Source organism: Homo sapiens, chromosome 16, assembly GCF_000001405.40.
Source record: "Homo sapiens chromosome 16, GRCh38.p14 Primary Assembly".
Classification (NCBI taxonomy): Eukaryota; Metazoa; Chordata; class Mammalia; order Primates; family Hominidae; genus Homo; species Homo sapiens.
Genome location: NC_000016.10, coordinates 18,398,951 through 18,417,149, shown reverse-complemented (window position 1 = coordinate 18,417,149; position 18,199 = coordinate 18,398,951). Strand labels below are relative to the sequence as shown.

Genomic DNA, 18,199 nt, shown 5'->3' with positions numbered 1-18,199 from the left:
GAGGTTGTGGCAAGTTGAAGTGTGCCCACCACGTCTAAGGGAAGCTTAGGGACTCAGCTCTGGCTCACCCCTGCTGTGCAGAAATGTGCGTTCATTTTTCTAGAGAAGCCAGAAAAACAAAGATTTACGTGAAATTTTCCCAATTTTAAATGTTAGCCACAAATGCAGTGTTTTTTTAAGAAAACCACACACTTTGGCCAAACAAAATGCCTACGTCGGCCGGGTGAGGCTTAAAGGTTGCCGGCTTGCATCAGAGATCCAGAGGAAGTCACAGCATTTTAACAGCTAAACTTAATCCTCACAGGAAGTCATCAAGTGAATTAAGTGATATTGAAGGAGGGGACACATCCATCCATCCGACATTTATTGAGTGCCACATAGGACAGGCATGGGTATGTGAGGATGAGTAGGGTAGACAACACTCTACAGCGAGCTGGAAGAGGCCAGGGAGGCCCCGTCTGCCTTGTTCTTCGTACCCCAATGCTTGGCACTTGGTGGGCATTCAGTAAGGAATGAATGAACGCACGCACAGAGGAATGAATAGATGGGCACACAGTGTGTGCCCTCACAGCACATGGCCCATCACTGGGTAGAAGGCAAGTCAGTAAGTAGACAGGGGTAATGCAGGGAGCCGAGGGCCTCCAGGTGGAGGAACATGGAGGACCACAGGAGCACAGAGCAGAGTTCTCATCCCACTGGAGAGCTTAGGGAACTTTCTGGATGTGATGCGTGAGCAGAGTCCAAAAGGACAAAACGGAGAGAGGGAAAACAAGGTGGAAGTTCTTGTTAGGTGCCACTGCCACCCCAGGGGGTCAGCTTGGGGGACTCCCTGGCTCTTGGGGGCCAACCGCAGAGCTGCCCTGTTCCCACCTATCAGCTAGCTTGGTGTTGGCACCGTGGAAGGAAAGTGAACAGTGTTGGAGATCTGGGACAGATGTGATATTAATACAGGATCCATTTCTTGGAGTGTTTTCCAACTCTTATTCCAAGTGGACACCCAGAAACATCCCTTTTAAATGTTAATGGGGTTTTTATTGACGGTATAAAGGTTAAGAGCTTGCGAAAGATACAATTGTCAGTACACTCCTTCCAGTTCCGGAGGCCGCCAGTAAGTGGCAGTCTTTCCCTGTCGCTGGCTGCAGGTCACCCTTGGCCTCGGTGGAACTTGTGTGGGTCATTCTCAGTCCATTTGAAAGTTGGGCCTGTTCGGTTGTGTATAATTTTCTGTTCATCATTTTTCTGGCAATCTCAGGACAGAAGTCCTCTGATCCTCCTGTGAGAAGTAAACATTAATGTTATTAGATTCTTTTTTTTTTTTTTTGAGTTTCGCTCTTGTGGCCCAGGCTGGAGTGCAGTGGCGTGATCTCGGCTCACTGCAACCTCTGCCTCCCGGTTTCAAGCGATTTCCTGCCTCAGCCTCCCGAGTAGCTGGGATTACAGGTGCCCACCACCACGCTCGCCTAATTTTTTGTATTTTTAGTAGATACGGGGTTTCACCATGTTGTCCAGGCTGGTCTTGAACTCCCTACCTCAGGTGATTCATCAACCTTGGCCTCCCAAAGTGCTGGGATTACAGGCGTGAGCCACCGCACCCGGGCTGTTATTAGACTTGGAATGGGACAAAAGTCATATGAGACAGACTTGTTTGCTGAGGTATTTAAAAAACAAAATGGTCTAAGATGGCAGATTCTTGGGGAACTCTGCTCTGTGCACATTTCTGCCTATTAAAGTGGCCGTAAAAACAACCATAAATCCTTGATGAGGACACCTCAGGAGCTTTAGGACGGTGCCATTCTTTTTTAATTAAAAGCTTTTTATTTGATTTGATTTTTCTGTAGAGACAGGGTCTCGGCTATGTTGACCAGGCTGGTCTTGAACTCTTGGCCTTAAGTGATCCTTCTGCCTCAACCTCCCAAAGTGCTGAGATTATAGGCATGAGTCACCACACCTGGCCAGGGCAGTGCCATTCTAAGGCAACGGCTTCAACTCGGTCTTCTTTTCTGGGGTTACAGGAGATGGGAAGGGCCGAAGGTAGCATGAGAACGTGTGTGTGTGTGTGTTTGTGTGTGTGTGTGTGTGTTTGTGCATGTGTATGTGGAAGGACTGGTGAGATGGCTGGAGGAAGAGGCAGTCCTTCTGCTTAACTCTAATGGCCTAAATGTGAGAAACAAAGATTCAGGAAATAAGGAAAAAGCAAATGAGTGATTGCCTCTCTGGATCAAGCACACCAGCAGGCACAACCAGCCTTTCTTGAGCTACTGTGTGCCGGGCGCTGTGCCGTGCCCTTGCATGCATGTGGATGCTTCATGAGTTCATGAAGTAGGTATGCTTCCAGCCCCATTTTTCAGAGAAAGAAACTGAGGCTGAACAATCTTGCAGCTGTCAAGTGGCAGAGCAGGGGTTTGAACCCAGGTCCAAGAGTTCTTAACCACCATGTTTTCCTGCCCTTGATGTATGAAATGAGATGATGTAGTCACATGCCAGCTTGTCTAGGGATGACTCAGAGGTTTAGAGATGGATGTCACGTGGATGTTGTACAGGAGAGGCAGGTATAAGCTGTAGTAAAGTTAGGAAAGGCACAGTGACGTGGAGCACTGTGTGCAGTGGACGGGGTCATGGCTGGGGGTGAGAATGGTGGAGGACCTTCGATTATTTCATCAGCGTTGTTTCTGTAACCAAAGAGCTGCATGACCAAACCCTGAGATCTAGTTCCTTAATAGGAACAATTATTCGGCACGATTCCCTTTACTTAAAAGCAGGGGCCGTCCTAAGGGAGGAGTTGGAAAGAGTTTGGGGGATAAGGTTTGCTTGGTTGCCTTCTGTTTAGGCTGATGTTCAGTGGGGGTCAAAGGCTGTGTGTCCAGTCCCTGGCATGTGGCGGGTGTTTGTGGTACACAGCCAGCCTCAGGATGGCCCCCAGGGATGCACACTGCCTTTGTGTGTGGTCCCCTCCCACACTGAATCAGGCTGGCTCTGTGCGACCAGTGGGAAGTGGTGGAAGTGAGTGATGATGTGTGACTTCTCGGGCTAGGTCGTAACAGGCATTGCACTTTGGCTCTCGGGAAGCCAACTGCCTTGCGTGAGGGTGCTCAGGCAGCCTCGTGGGGAGGGGTGAGGCCCCTGGCCCCCAGCATGTACAGCTTGCCACCACGTGAGTGAGCCAGCTTGGAAGCGAATTTCCCCGCCCCGGTCAAGCCTTCTGGTGAGTGCAACTGCAGATGACATCTGACTTCCACCACTCAAGAGACCCCAGGTCAGTGCTGCCCAGCTGAGCTCTTCCCAGGTTCTTTATGTCCCCCGAAAATGAGCTGTTTTAAGTTTAGAAAACTTAAAAACACAGTGACAATGAAGCACAGATATGCATTACATACAGTCCCAAATCAGTAATGACTTCAAGCTGTGTCCTCTCTTTCCAAGAAAGACAAAGCAGAGAACAAAGTTCAACCTACAGTGTCTTCCCAAATTCTTGACCCACGGGATCTGTGAATATCTTATACGACTGAATTAAGCCTCTAAGTTTTGGGGTAACTCATGCAACATTAGGTAACTGGAATAGTGCTCAATAAATGTCTGTCACATGAATGGGCAGTGACCATGGATGCATTTCTAGTTGTGTATTAGTTAAGGCTCTCTTGGTTTCAAGTAACAGAAATCCAACTCCAACTAGCTTGAGCAAAATGGGGCATTCCTCTGGTCAAGTAACGGAGAAATCCAAGAGTCTCTGGCTTCATGCATAGCGGGACCCAGTCTCAATTTCCACCTCCTGGCTCTGCTTCCCTTGATGCCAACTTTCAGGAATCAGCTTTCTGAAAGACCACTCTGCTAGAAACAGACAGGCCCATCCTTTCAACCAGGTCCAGGACTGTTTGCTCAGTCACTGCTCTCAGAGGCAGGGGCAGAGGCAGATGCCGGGCACACATCCACAGAAGTGGAGATGGCAGGAAACTGAGAGTGGAGTGCTGGAAAGCTGGCTTTTGCCTATGGGTTCCGCTTCTGACATCATCCGGCAATGTCAGGCTTTACATTGCCCCCATCTGCAGACCCAGCAGAAGGACAGCTTCCATCCCACCACATCAATATGCCAGTCCTGGGGCGGGGGAAGGACTTATGGGCAACCTTTGCAGAATCACTGGGGCCTGGCCGCACATGAGCCATGCCCACGCTCATGTGACAGGCGGCCCCTGTGCCTGGGGTGCTGTATTACCCAGAGGAATAAGTGATCCTGGGTGGGCAAAAGCAACAGAAGAGAAGTCAGCTCCACTTCCTTCCAAAACTTGAGAAGGCCTGGTCAAAATCACCCTCCAGGCCCGGTGTGGTGGCTCATGCCTGTAATCCCAGCACTTTGGGAGGTTGAGATGGGCAGATCATGAGGTCAAGAGATCGAGACCATCCTGGCCAATATGGTGAAACCCCGTCTCTACTAAAACTACAAAAATTAGCTAGGTGTGGTGGTGGGCGCCTGTAGTCCCAGCCACTCGATAGGCTGACAGGAGAATCACTTGATCCAGGGAGTCGGAGGTTGCAGTGAGCCGAGATCGCACCATTGCACTCTAGCCTGGCGACAGAGTGAGACTAAAAAAAAAAAAAAAGAAAAAAGAAAAAAATCAGCCTCCATTTTTGGCTTTCTCTTTCATTAGAAAAATGAACCTGACTTTATGACCATGACAATGAAATGCCTAGAGAAGGGAGCACTCATTTTCCAGTGGGCCTACTGTGTGCTGGGGTGGCGAGACTCTTCCTGCCCTGGAACTTGGTGAGGTCAGGAGGGAAGATATTATATGACTGCCTTCCTCTGTACTTTTTCAGTGGGGGCAGGTGTTTATGCTTGATGATGCAATGGTGAGATCTTGGTTGGAATATGAACTTTTCTTTCTTTTTTTTTTTTTAGATGGGTTCTTGTTCTGTTCCCCAGGCTGGAGTACAATGGCACCATCACAGCTCACTGCAGCCTTGATCTCCCAGGGTCAAGGGATCATCGTGCCTCAGCCTGCTGAGTAGCTGGGACTACAGGAGTGCACCACCACACCTGGCTAATTTTTTTAAAAAAAATCTTTGTAGAGATGAGCTCTCACTAGGTTGCCCAGGCTGGTCTTGAACTCCTGAGCTCAAGCAATCCTCCCACCTTGGGCTCCCTAAGTGTTGGGATTACAGGCAAGAGTCACCACGCCCAGCCAGGATCACAGACGTTTAAATTACACTCCTTCTGCTGTGCCTTACAGCAGTAGAAGGGGTGAAATTTAAACGTCTGTGATCCTGGGGTTGTTGAAGATGCCACCCATCTACATATTCTTTCAGATGCACAATATTTCACTGTGTGAATGAAACAGCAGCCCTTCTTACGTGTGCTTTTTGGAATTTGAAGATTTTGTAAGATAAGATGAATGCATTGGAACAAGTGATCCTCAATTCTGTGCAGTCTGTGCCTCCGGAGACTGGCGGCTGCCCCTCCCTGTCTAGTCTTGCAAGAGAGGCAGCTGGCAAGAGGACAGAAGCCGGCAGCTGCTGCGTTTTCATCCTGTTTCTGCTCTTGGAGCTGAGGGGGAGAGGTGGCTAGCAGCCACCCAGTGATCAAACTTGCAGCCTGCCTCTCTTGCTTCCTTTTCACAGACTGGAGTGTGCCTGGGTATGGAGAAAGAACATTTTGCTTCTTGCCTCTCAGAGTTTCAAGAACGCCTCACCTGAGTGGCATGCATTCATGGAATGAGTAATTATTACAGTGGAGAACTCCTCACTGTGAATTAATTACACAGATGATATTCAAGACTTAGACTGGGCTAGTGCAGGGGTTAGCAAACTATGGCCCACTGTTCTTGTTTTATAAATAAAGTGTTATGAGCACACAGCCATGCCCATTCATTTGCAGATTATGGCTGCTTTTGCCTGACAGTGCCAGATGTAAGTAGTTGTGGCAAAGACCAGGTAGCCTAAAAAGCCTAAAATACTTGCTATCTGGGTCTTTACAGAAGACATTTTGTTGTTGTTGTTGTTGTTTTTGAGATGGGGTCTTTCTCTGTCACCCAGGCTGGAGTGCAGTGGTGTGATCTCAGCTCACTGCAACCTCCGCCTCTTGGGTTCAAATGATTATCGTGCCTCAGCCTCCCTAGTAGCTGGGATTATAGGCGCCTGCCACCAAGCCTGGCTAATTTTTGCATTTTTAGTAGAAACAGGGCTTTACCATGTTGGCCAGGCTGGTCTCAAACCCCGACCTCAGATGATCTGCCTGCCTCAGCCTCCCAAAGTGCTGGGATTACAGGTGTGAGCCACTGCGCCTGGCCTAGAAAATGTTTTCTAACCTGTTGTCTAGTGGGTGCTTTGTAAAGTTTAGTTTTAGGGGGAGCATCATTAATTCATTCAACAAGTATTAACTGAGCATCTCCCCTGTGCTGGGTGCTGCTTGGCATACTGGGGGTTTAGTGGTGTGAGAGAGACCGAGCCTCAGCTCTTAGGAGCACAGTGCTGATGGAGGACGAAAGGTAAACACACACATTAGAAGTTGTTGGATAATGCCAGGCGTTACGAAGAAAAGAAGCAGAACAAGGCAATGTGACAGAGGATGATTGGTATCATGGAAGGTCTCTCTGAGGAGGCAGCATCTGAGCTGAGACCTGAGGAGGGGAAGGGCCAGTTATGCAAAGATCTGGGGGAAGAGCTGCCCAGGCAGAGGGGACCATAATTGCAAAGGCCCCCAGGAGGAAATGAGCTCCCTGAGTTTCAGGAATAGCAAAGAGGCCAGGGTGGCCAGAGTCAAGTGATTGAGAGGAAGAGATGAGAACGATGGCAGGGACCGGGTCATGTGGGTGCCCTGGAAAGGAGTTTAGATTTTATTCTAATGGCAACAGAAGGCATTGGAGGGTTTAAGTAGGGAAAGGGGAGTGATCTGATGTATGTTTTTAAACAATTGCTTCTTTAAATTTTGAGGAGATTGGATTATTGGGAAGCAAGAATGAATTTAGGGAGAGAAGCAAAGAGGACGTTGTGTTGGTTTAGGCAAAAGACAGCAATGGCTTGGATTGGGGTGATGGAAGTAACAGTGGCAGGAAGTGGTGAGCTTGGGGCTATGCTTCAGAGATAGAGCAGAAAGGTCTTGCTGATGTATTTAATACAGGAGGTGAGGGAAGGGAGGAATCAACGATAAGTGAATCGTTTGTTTCTAGCTGAACCACTGAAATGTGTAGGTAAATTGAGACTTCTGTTTTGGCCATCGTGAGTTTGAGATGCTTATCAGACACCCGAGTCTGCAGCCTGGGTGAGAAATCACGGCTGGAGATGAGACGTGGTGAGCTGGGAGTGTTTTTGGATGACAGATGAGGCCACGGGATTGAATAATAGGTATCCTTATGAAGACTGAGAAAAGGAGAGGGCTGGGGGCCAAGCCCTGGGACAGTGCAACCTTCAGAGGATGGGCGAGGAGGGCCCTGCCCAAGAGACAGAGAGGAAGTGGCCCGTGAGGTAGGGGGAAGTCCAGGAGAGGACAGTGTGGTGAATACCTAATGCTTTACTCATTCACTGGTGAATGAATGGATGGATGGATGGATGGATGGATGGATGGATGGATGAATGCATGAATATTCCTTAATAATATGGTTGGCCATGGTCCATCCATATGACTCCTACGGACACCATGTTACCATTTCACACTCGTCTTCTATTTAGGAGAAATCAGACGAAACTGCCATCTTATATATAGGTCAAAAATGGTTTCCATAACCACCCACCTCACATGCTTACTGAAATTCATTAAGTAATAGATGGGGTGGGGGGCGGGAGGTTTACAGGTCGGCAAAGGAGGCAAGGCTAGAGTGATCCATGTGGCAGTGGATTAGAGTGGCAGGCATCAGTATGAACACATGTTTAGCTCAATATAGATACAGATGGCTACATAGAGAAATATTTATGGATATGTGCATATACACAAATTAGTAAGACACACATTACTAATCCTGGCTGTCAGCGAAGAGAGCCTAGAAGCAAGGATACCCCAGTAGCAACAAACCTCTGGTGCCCAGGTCTCTGTTCTCCAATAAACACCATTCTCCAGTAAAAGGAACCAGGCTTCTTGAACAAATGTCGATCCTAGGACCGAGGGAGGAAATAGATAAGAAGAACCTGAAGCATCTTGTAGGGTCACAGGGTGAGGAGGCGCTAAATGAAACAAAATGAAACTGCTGCAGTGATGGGGCATCTCAGAGGGACACAGGAGCCAGTGGAAAAGCTCCCAGGGGTCAAAGCCAGAACAATTTGAGCCCCAAAAAAGTACTATTGGATTAGAATTCAAAGAATAAATACCCATGATTCCATACTGCTATAAATGATCAGATAAGAGAGAAGAGACAAATCTCCCAGGCAGAAGAATTCCAGATTATTTATTTATTTTTATTTAATTTTTTTTTTTTACACAGGGTCTTGCTCTGTTGCCCAGGTTGGAGTGCAGTGATGTAATCTTGGCTTACTGCAACCTCCACCTCCCAGGTTCAAGCGATTCTTGTGCCTCAGCCTCCCGAGTAGCTGGGATCACAGGCATGCGCTGCCACACTCGGCTAATTTTTTGTATTTTTAGTAGAGGCGGGGTTTCACCATGTTGACCAGGTTGGTCTCAAACTCCTGACCTCAAGTGATCACCCTCCTCGGCCTCCCATTCAAGTGCTGGGATGACAGGTGTGAGCCACCGTGCCCGGCCCCAGGTAATTTATATAGCTATTCCATCGTCAAGGAGGTGGAGCGGACTTCCCACATCCTAAGTGTGGGCTGTGCATAGTGACTCTCTTCCAAAGAGTACAGTGTGAAAAGAGAGGAGAGAGTAACTTTACAGTGGAGAACACGGACAGACTACCTCAGCCAGGTGATCAAAGTCAACTTCAATAGCGGCAAGTCATCTTGAGAGAATGCGTGCCTGATACAGAGTGCTGAGAATGATTCTTAAGCTCTGTGGTCCTCCTCCTCAAAACACACACAAGCCAAGACTAAGGATGAGAAGCATCTGCCAAATCCCAGTTGAGGAACATTCTACAAAATACCTGGCCAGCACTCCTCAAAATGCTCCATGTGGTATCCTGGAACAGAAAAAGGACATTAAGCAAAAACTAAGGCAATCAGAATCAACTATGGACTTTAGGTGGCCAGGCACGGTGGCTCGCGCCTGTAACCCTAGCACTTTGTGAGGCCGAGGCCGGCGGATGGGTTGAGCCCAGGAGTTCAAGACCAGCCTGGGCGACATGGCGAAACCCCATCTCTACAAAAAATACAAAAAATTAGCCAGGCTTGTGGTGTGCACCTGTAGTCCTAGCTACTCGGGAGGCTGAGATGGGAGGATCACTTGAGTCCGGGAAGTCAAGGCTGCAAGTGACCCGTGATTGTGCCACTGTATACCAGCATGGGCAATGAGAGTGAGACCCTGTCTCAACAAACAAACAACAAACAAACAAACAAAAACAAATTCTCTGGGGATGGTAGCAGGCACCTGTATTTCCAGCTACTTGGGAGGCTGAGATGGAGGATCGCTTGAGCCAGGGGAGGTGGAGGGTTGAGGCTGCCATGAACTATGATCACACCACCACACTCCAGCCTAGGTGACGAGCAAGACCCTGTCCCCACCCCCCTAAAAAAAGTATGGACTTTAGTTCATAATGCATCAAGCTATGGGGTACATGGAAACTCTCTGTACTGCTTTCACCATTTTTCTAAAACTGTTCTAAAATAAAAAATTTACTTAAACATTTATTTAAAAAAAAAAACAAACCATTTGAGTACCAACAGTGTCATATGCTCAACTTAGCACATCTTTTTCCTGGTTTGGTTTGTGGGCGTGAATGTGTACTGAGCCATCTAAACCTTGGTTGCCCGACCTTCACCGTAGCCACTGACCCAGGTTAACAGACAAAAGGCCCAGGTTAAGGTTATGCCCAGTGGCCATAAAATAGCCCAGCATCCAGACTGCACTCCTTGATGTACCCAAAAAAGCCAAGGAATAGGACGGATGGGCGGGGAGTGGGGGGCAAACTACTGCCCATTGCCCAACTCTGGCCAGCTGTCTGTTTTATAAATAAAGTTTTATTGGAACACAGTCACACCCATTCATTTATTATCATCTATGGCTACATTTGCATGACAATGGCAGTGTTGAGTAGTTGCACCAGAGATCGTGTGGCCCACAAAATATTTATTATCTAGCACTTTACAGAAAAAGCTTGTCAACCTCCAGGACAGTGGCCACAAGTTCTGCCATCATCTCATCCCTTAGCAAGAAGGGAAAGGAATGCCCATTAAGGCACAAATTGTTTTCTGTTGTTGTTTGTTTGTTTGTTTGTTTTTGAGACGGAGTTTCAGTCTTGTCGCCCAGGCTGGAGTGCAATGGCGTGATCTTGGCTCACTGCAACCTCCGCCTCCCAGGTTCAAGCGATTCTCCTGCCTCAACCTCCCGAGTAGCTAGGATTACAGGCGCCAGCCACCACATCCAGCAAATTTTTGTATTTTTAGTAGCGACGGGGTTTCACTATGTTGACCAGGCTGGTCTCGAACTCCTGACCGCAGGTGATCCACCTGCTTTGGCCTCCCAAAGCGCTGGGATTACAGGTGTGAGCCACCGTGCCTGGCCACAAGGTGGTCTTTTAACAACAGAGCACACAGCTGGACAAAGCCCAACGCTCTCTTCTTTGGGGCCGAGGTGGGTCATTAATATTGAACATTTACAATGTACTTGCTCCAGGTGATTCAGTTTAATTTCTGCCGTCTCTTGTAACAGGGCTCCCACGTGCACGGGTTGGGGCCGTGTGTCTGCCTCTGCTTTCTGAGGCCCCACAGCGTATTGATTCTGCGAAACGTACGTTTCTTTGAAAACAGCGTCTCTTGACATGACAGGAGATCACACATCGCTTGTTTTCTGTCCCTTTCATTGCCCTCTGAACATGATAAAATCATGACCTAGTGTCACCGAGGGACCTCAGCATCTCTTGGAAAGAAGGACTTGCCTTCTTTTTTATCTTTGTCAAGCCAGTGAGGCCAAGTAGAAAATTTTTAGCAGCTTTGGAGCCAGACAGATCGGAGTGCGAGTTCTGCCCGTTATTGACTGGACCGTGTGACCCTGGGAGAGCCGCCTAGTGTCTATGAGACGGAGGCTGTTGGGCAAGAAAATGGGGATGGTCCCAGCATTATGGGGCGGTTGTGAGAATTCAGTGCAATGATGCAGTGCTCCCAGAACAGCTGGTCTAGGGCTTGGCTCATGGGACTGTCCCTTCGCAGAGGCAGCGTGGACATTCCGCTGGTATCCACTGGTGTGGCTGTGCCTGTTTGGTCACCGTGTCTGTTCTGATTGGTCGGTGCTCCTGCATGTCAAGAGTTCAATGTTATGAAAATCATCCCTGCCTAGAGATGAATTCCCCCTTCCCCTGAGGTCTAGACTGGTATAGCTGCTTTTGGAGCCTCACCTGCTGAGAGCTCACAGCTGTCCTTCTCTAGAGAATCACCCTCAGATGGGAGCCACATTGCCTGGGATGGGATGCCATGCCCAGTAATGGCCCAGTGACTAACTGATACAGCAACGTGAATGGCTGGTCCCTGCCCCACGGTGGGGACGATCCTGTGGCGTGCTCTCTGCTGCTCGTGGGATAGGTCAAGGCGGGACTTTAAGGGACCACATTCTCACTCTGCTCTGTCCCCTTCTGCATCCTGTAGTCCTCACCTCCCTTCTCCTGAAAGCCCCTTTCAAAACAAAAACAAAAACCACATCCACCCAAGTCCCTGTCTCCAGCTCTGCCTCCAGGAAAGCCGGCGGAAGGCCGCCAGTCTCAGCTGTGACAGATACAGATATTTCTGCATTTCCAGGACTGAGGTCAATCCCTGGGGACCCAGTGAGGCGGTATCTGAAGGGCCATGGAGCTGGCTTGATGGGGTCTACAGGTAGGCAGGGACCTGGTGGGGATGTGACTCAAGGATTTTTATCAAATATCTTTATCCCCTGACAGATGCAAAAAAAAAAAAATGAGATCAGACTCCAGGGTTTCCTCCATGCCACACTGTGGCCCCATTGTTTGTTGTGCTATCAGCAGAAGTTGATTTTGCAAGGAATGTACACGTGTATGTGATGTTTGAATGCACCTATCTGTGTGTGCGTGCATTTGTGTGTGTGTGTGTGCATTCGCTTGTGTGTGTGTGTGTGTGTGTGTGTGTGTGTGTGCTGAGGATGTGAGCCCCACTTCCGGCCCAGTGCCCCTGCCCAGGCTGGCTCTGCCCTCCTGCTGCTCTGGGCCCCTCAGGCAGTGACTACCTGGTACATAGGGAAGGCATCAGCATCCCTTATTCATGGGGACTGTATACTGTCTCCACCATATTGGGCCTTTTGGCCTCTTGGACATGACTTGGCCTCTGCTGGCTTTAAGGGACTGCCAGAGATGCCATCTTCTCTGGGAAATGTTCTCAGCCTGGGCACAGCCCACTAACCACTGCCTGCTTGTCTGAGACTTCTCTGTCCAGGAAAACAGCCCAGCCTGACCAGAGATGGGCATAGAGCCATATTTTGGGAAAGACTGGTTGGGGGTCAACTTGGTTTCTGGAACCAGTTCTGATTTCAGTTGCAGGGGACAGTGAGCCAGTTACTGCCCACTGGCTGCATCCTAAGCCTTCCTAGAGGAGAGCTAGCCTCCTCCTAGGGTTGCCCAGGCTGGACCACTTCTGCCTGGGTGATGGGTTGGGAGAAAGACGTTAATATTTGGAGCAGTGTTATATTAGTCAGCCCTCCCATTTGCAAACATTAGAAAACCAGCTCAAATTAGTGATAAAAGAAAATCTCAGCTGAATTAAATTTAAAGTAGTTTAATTGAGCAATGAATGATTCGCGAATTGGGCAGACCCCAGAATCACAGCAGATTCATAGAGACTCCAGCGCAGCCACGTGGTGGAAGAAGATTTATGGACAAAAGAAGGGAAATGATGTACAGAAATCAGAAGTGAAGTACAGAATGGCTGGATTGTTACAAGTTGGCGTTTGCCTTATTTGAGTACAGTTTGAACACTCAGCAGCGTATGAGCGGTTGAACTACGGCCTCTGGGATTGGCCAAGACTCAGCTATTGTTACAGGCGCATACTCCTAAGTTAGGTTTTCAATCTTGTCTACCTATTAAGCTAGGTTGCAATTTGTCCACAAGGACTCAACTATAGAAGTACGAAGTCCCACTCAGGCCATATTTAGTTCACTTTAACACTAGCTTCGGCAACTGTCTCTCAGAGCCCAGGGCAGGGCAGGGATGCAACTGGGCTTCAGGAAACTTGAATTCATTGACTGTCTCTTCCCCATCTTAGATGCAGTGCTAAGGGCTTTTTAGTAATTTTCTCATTTGACTCTCAAAACAAACTGATGAGGAAACGGTCTGAGAGTAGTTAGGCAGCTTTTCAAGGTCACACAGATAGTAAATGTCATCACTGGGACTTGAACTCAGGTCTTTCTGACTCTCATGTCTGTGCAACATGTCATCTCAGCCACTGTTGACACTGTATATGTGGATTAGGGTTGGCTAAACTGCTGTAACAAATAGACCCAACTCGAATGGTGCATGTATGTACAATAGGGGTTTATTTCTTATGATATAGTTCACGGTGGTCCCAGGTGAATAAGGATGGGTAGGTCTGCATTTTTCATAATCATCTGGATTTCTGCTCAGGCTCCTAGAGTCTCTGCCACCTTCCCCATGTGGCTTCCAAGGCCACCTTGGAGACAGAGCTTGGTGGAGCACATGTGGTAGGATTTTTTTTGTTTTTTTGAGACGGAGTCTCACTGTATTGCCCAGTCTGGAGTGCAGTGGTGCAATCTCGGCTCACTGCAACCTCTGCCTCCCAGGTTCAAGCTATTCTCCTGTCTCAGCCTCCCTAGTAGCTGGGACTACAGGCACCTGCCACCACGCCTGGCTAATTTTTGTATTTTTAGTAGAAATGGGATTTCACCTTGTTGGTCAGGTTGGTCTCAAACTCCTGACCTCAGGTGATCCACCCACCTCGGCCTCCCAAAGTGCTGGGATTACAGGCATGAGCCACCACTCCCAGCCAGTTCTTTTTTTCTTTTTTCCATTTTTTTTTTTTCGAGACAGGGTCTTACTCTGTTGCCCAGGCTGGAGTGCAGTGGCACAATCACGGCTCAGCGCAGCCACTGCCTCCTGGGCTCACACGCTCCTCCGGCCTCAGCCTCTCGAGTACCTGGGACTACAAGTGTGAGCCAGTTTGGCTAATTTTGGCTAATTTTTGTAGAAACGGGGTCTCGCCATGTTGGCCAGGCTGGTCTCCAACTCCTGGGCTCAAGGGATCCACCTTCCTCCCCCTCTCAAAGTTCTGGGATTACCGGAGTGACCCACTGTGCCCTGCTGGCAAATTTCTTAAACTGTGCCTCAGTGACCTCATTTAATAAAGGGAATAATTGTAGCACACTTTTTCTAGAGCTGTGAAGATTCAATGGAATAAATAAGGCAATAAATGAATGGATGGGGAATGAAGGATGTGGGTTTCCTCCCTCTTGTCTTTCAATAAGCTCTCACCATCAACCTCCCATTGCCTGTTCTCTCTCTTCCCCCTCTCTCCCTCTGTCTCTCTCTTAGCCAGGAAACCTGGGGTAGGGAGGCTTGGAGCCAGCGGGTGCGTCGGGAGGCTGCGGGTACTGACTGGGGACGCGCACGGAGATTGCGGGAGAAGGATCCACGCCGCGGGAGAAGGATCCATGCCGCGGGAGAAGGATCAGAGTGGAGCCTGTGGCTGCTGCAGGAGGAGGAAGCCGCCGCCTGGCCCACACCACAGGAGAAGGGCGGAGCCAGATGGCACCCTGCCCACCGCTTCCCGCCCACGCACTTTAGCCTGCAGAGGGGCGGAGCGTGAAAAATACCTCGTGCGCCTCGGCCGACTCTACAGTGCGACGGGCGGAGCTTCCAGACGCTCCGCCCCACGTCGCATGCGCCCCGGGAAAGCGTGGGGCGGAGCTTCCGGAGGCCCCGCCCTGCTGCCGACCCTGTGGAGCGGAGGGTGAAGCCTCCGGATGCCAGTCCCTCATCGCTGGCCCGGTCGCGCTGTGGCGAAGGGGGCGGAGCCTGCACCCGCCCCGCCCCCCCTCGCCCCGTCCGCCCTGCGCCGCGCGGGGAGGAGGAGGAGGAGCCGCGGCGGGGCCCGCACTGCAGCGCCAACGTCCGAGCGGGCGGCCGAGCTCCCGGAGCGGCCTGGCCCCGAGCCCCGAGCGGGCGTCGCTCAGCAGCAGGTCGCGGCCGCAGCCCCATCCAGCCCCGCGCCCGCCATGCCGTCCGCCGGCCCCGCCTGAGCCGCGGCCTCCGCGCGCGGGCGGGCCTGGGGACGGCGGGGCCATGCGCGCGCTGCCCTAACGATGCCGCCCGCCGCGCCCGCCCGCCTGGCGCTGGCCCTGGGCCTGGGCCTGTGGCTCGGGGCGCTGGCGGGGGGCCCCGGGCGCGGCTGCGGGCCTTGCGAGCCCCCCTGCCTCTGCGGCCTAGCGCCCGGCGCCGCCTGCCGCGTCAACTGCTCGGGCCGCGGGCCGCGGGCTGCGGACGCTCGGTCCCGCGCTGCGCATCCCCGCGGACGCCACAGCGCTGTGAGTAGCGGGCCCAGCGGCACCCGGGAGAGGCCGCGGGACGGGCGGGCGTGGGCGCGTTCCCTGGCCCGGGACGGGAAGCAGGACGCGGGCCAGGACGCTCCCAGGGCGAGGCTCCGGCGCGGCACAGCGGCCCTGCTAAATAAGGAACGCCTGGAGCCGCGGTTGGCACGGCCCCGGGGAGCCGAAAAACCCCGGGTCTGGAGACAGACGTCCCACCCGGGGGCTCTGCGGACGCCAGCGGGGGCGGGGCGCGGAGGCCGCGCTCAGCTGGGAGGACAAACAGTCGCTAATTGGAGAGGAATTGGGATTCGGCCTGGGGCTGCGGGGTACCCGGAGAGATGGGGATGGCTGTAGGGGGCTGCAGGGAAGAGTTCCAGGAGGTGTCTGGACAAGGATTTGATGGATGTGCAAGAATTGGGCTGATGCTTAGGAAGGGGCGATGAGGTGGGTCCAGAAGAAGGGGGGTGAACGGTGTGAGCAAAGACCGTGAGGCTGGAGGCTGGCCACGGGAGGTGTGAGGGGTAGGGGCAGGGTGGGAGGTGGGCTCGCGGGTGGGCTGGGGTCATGAAGGGCCTCAGGCGCTCTGCTATTGGGTTCCAAGGCTATCCTGAGAACAGGGGTGAGGGCGGATTGCCGTGGGGGGTTAAAGCCTTGTCATGTTCGCTTTCGGGAGATAAAAACAACAGGTGGCCTTTATGGAGACGCTGCCCAGAGCCAGGTCTGTGCCAGGCTCCTGTTGGGGGTCGTCATGCGGAATCCTGACTCTGACCATCCGAGGCATAGGGACCGTGGAGATTTGCATTTCACAGATGAGGAAACAGGTTTGGAGAGGTGACACGACCTGTCCCAGGCATCACAGCCAGGACAGGACCTGTCCCAGGCATCACAGCCGGGATGTGCATAGCAGGGGTTTGGAACTATGAGGTGCCCAGGACCCAGGGTTGGATTGAAAAGGGCGCAGGGGACTAAGATAAGCAGACAGTTGTCCCCAGCGCTGGGGAGAGTCTTGGTACCAGTCTGATGCCTTGTATTTCCCAGGCTCCAGGCTCCTCGCCGGGACAGTGTCTCTTTGGGTGCGTGCTGGATCCCTGGGGGACGTGGCACATCCCCAGGCTTTCTAAACATTGGATGGGTTCTGGCATTTGGTTTTGTAACGTTTCTGGGTCACTCCCGCCTGTGGCCACCCTTCCTTAGGGGAGCCGTGTGTCCTTGGGGCTTTGCTGGGTGGTCTCGAGGGTGGGAGAAGAATGGGTTCTCCTGGACCAATGGAGCCCGTGCCCCTCGGGGCCACATTGCTCCTGCGCTCCCTGACTGCGGACGCGTGTGTCTCGCGGCTGTCTCTGTGGAGATGGCCTCCTCCTGCCTGGCAACAGCACCCACAGAATTGCATCAGACCTACCCCACCCGTTGTTTGTGATGCTGTAGCTGAGGGCTCCTCTGTCTGCCAGGCCGGTCACTGGGGACTCTGTCCAGGTCCTGGTGGTTCCTGCTTCCCAGCACCTGATGGTGTCCATGAGAGCAGCCCCTCGGGAGCTGTCCGGGAGAGAAGGGCGCTGGTGGCTGCTGAGCGGAGAGCAAGGCCCGTGTTCTCCAGGCCCTTGGCACAGCAGTGGAACCCCCGCCCCTGCCTTGTGTTGTCCTCTTAGGCTCTGGTCCTGGGGTTTGGAGGAGGGGGACCCTGGGGGTTGGTGGCCTGTCCCAGCCTGAGCTGGCAAGATTCCGAATGCCAGGCCCCTCAAGTGTGCAACAGGGCACAGGGTGACCTCGTGGGCAGGTGGGTGCTGTTCTGTACACACCTGGGGCCGCCGCTGGGAGAGTTCTGGAAGGTGGGGTGAGGGGACCCATGGGAAACTAGGGCCCTAGGAAGGATGTGAAGGCCCTGGCTGGCCCCCCAGGCCACCCTCTGTGCTGTGGGGCAGCCCAGCCATTTTGCTGTCTACCCTGCAAACTCCTCCTCGGGGAGACGGCTGGGTTTTCCCCAGGGAAGAGGGGTCAAGCTGGGAGAGGTGAAGGACACAGATCACAGCTGCTGGCAGGTGTTCAAGGGTCCAGGAGCGTTGCTGTCTGGGTGTCACCAGTAGCCTTCCTGGGGGGCTCACGCAGGTGCCTCTCCACTTGTGGCTCCCTGGCTGCTGAAGCTCAGCAGGGACAGCTGTGTCCAGTTCCAGGTGGAGGACAGCCGGGGCTTCTGAGGCCACAGCCTGCCTTGGGTTAAGGATGCTGCCGAGAGGTGGTGGCTTTTGGAAAAGATGGCGTACTGCAAAACGTGCTGCTCTGCATGGCTCGAAGCTTCGTGGGGAGACGTGGGCAGAGCCGTGGCTGACTCACAGACCCCCCACCCCAGAGCCTGCCCTGCCCTCCCTGCCCCGACCCTTCCCCTCCTGACCCATGTGTTTTTTGTTTTTTTTTTTGAGACAGAGTTCACTCTTGTTGCCAAGGCTGGAGTGCAATGGCACGATCTCGGCTCATGGCAACCTCCGCCTCCTGGGTTCAAGCGCTTTTCCTGCCTCAGCCTCCCGAGTAGCTGGGATTACAGGCGTGCACCACCATGCCTGGCTAATTTTGTATTTTTAGTAGAGACAGGGTTTCTCCATATTGGTCAGGCTGGTCTTGAACTCCTGACCTCAGAT

The 18,199-nt window shown here is 52.0% G+C and overlaps 1 long non-coding RNA gene, 3 other non-coding genes and 2 pseudogenes across 7 annotated transcripts in view; 5 read left to right on the top strand and 1 right to left on the bottom strand.

The window, feature by feature from the left end:
* Positions 1 to 973: 973 nt before the first annotated feature.
* On the bottom strand, positions 974 to 17,171 carry LOC112268172 (uncharacterized). Of its 3 annotated transcripts, XR_002957898.2 has the most exons (4): positions 16,969 to 17,171; positions 8,831 to 9,050; positions 7,994 to 8,073; positions 980 to 1,273 (listed from the first exon to the last, which is right to left on the bottom strand). It is a non-coding gene; the product is annotated as an uncharacterized LOC112268172 (long non-coding RNA). The 3 variants fall into 3 exon arrangements; XR_002957900.2 differs by lacking the exon at positions 8,831 to 9,050 and having other exon boundaries at positions 974 to 1,273; XR_002957899.2 differs by lacking the exon at positions 7,994 to 8,073.
* MIR3179-3 (microRNA 3179-3) lies at positions 5,173 to 5,256 on the top strand. The gene has a single exon (NR_036145.1). It is a non-coding gene; the product is annotated as a microRNA 3179-3 (primary transcript).
* MIR3670-3 (microRNA 3670-3) lies at positions 11,388 to 11,452 on the top strand. Its single transcript, NR_128712.1, has one exon. It is a non-coding gene; the product is annotated as a microRNA 3670-3 (primary transcript).
* MIR3180-3 (microRNA 3180-3) lies at positions 14,879 to 14,972 on the top strand. The gene has a single exon (NR_036144.1). It is a non-coding gene; the product is annotated as a microRNA 3180-3 (primary transcript).
* Positions 15,136 to 18,199, top strand: part of PKD1P5 (polycystin 1, transient receptor potential channel interacting pseudogene 5) — a 27,494-nt pseudogene continuing 24,430 nt past the window's right edge.
* Positions 15,225 to 18,199, top strand: part of PKD1P5-LOC105376752 (PKD1P5-LOC105376752 readthrough) — a 43,821-nt pseudogene continuing 40,846 nt past the window's right edge. The window contains exon 1 of the transcript NR_146331.1: positions 15,225 to 15,566. The product of NR_146331.1 is annotated as a PKD1P5-LOC105376752 readthrough (transcript). The remainder of the gene's footprint in view (positions 15,567 to 18,199) is intronic.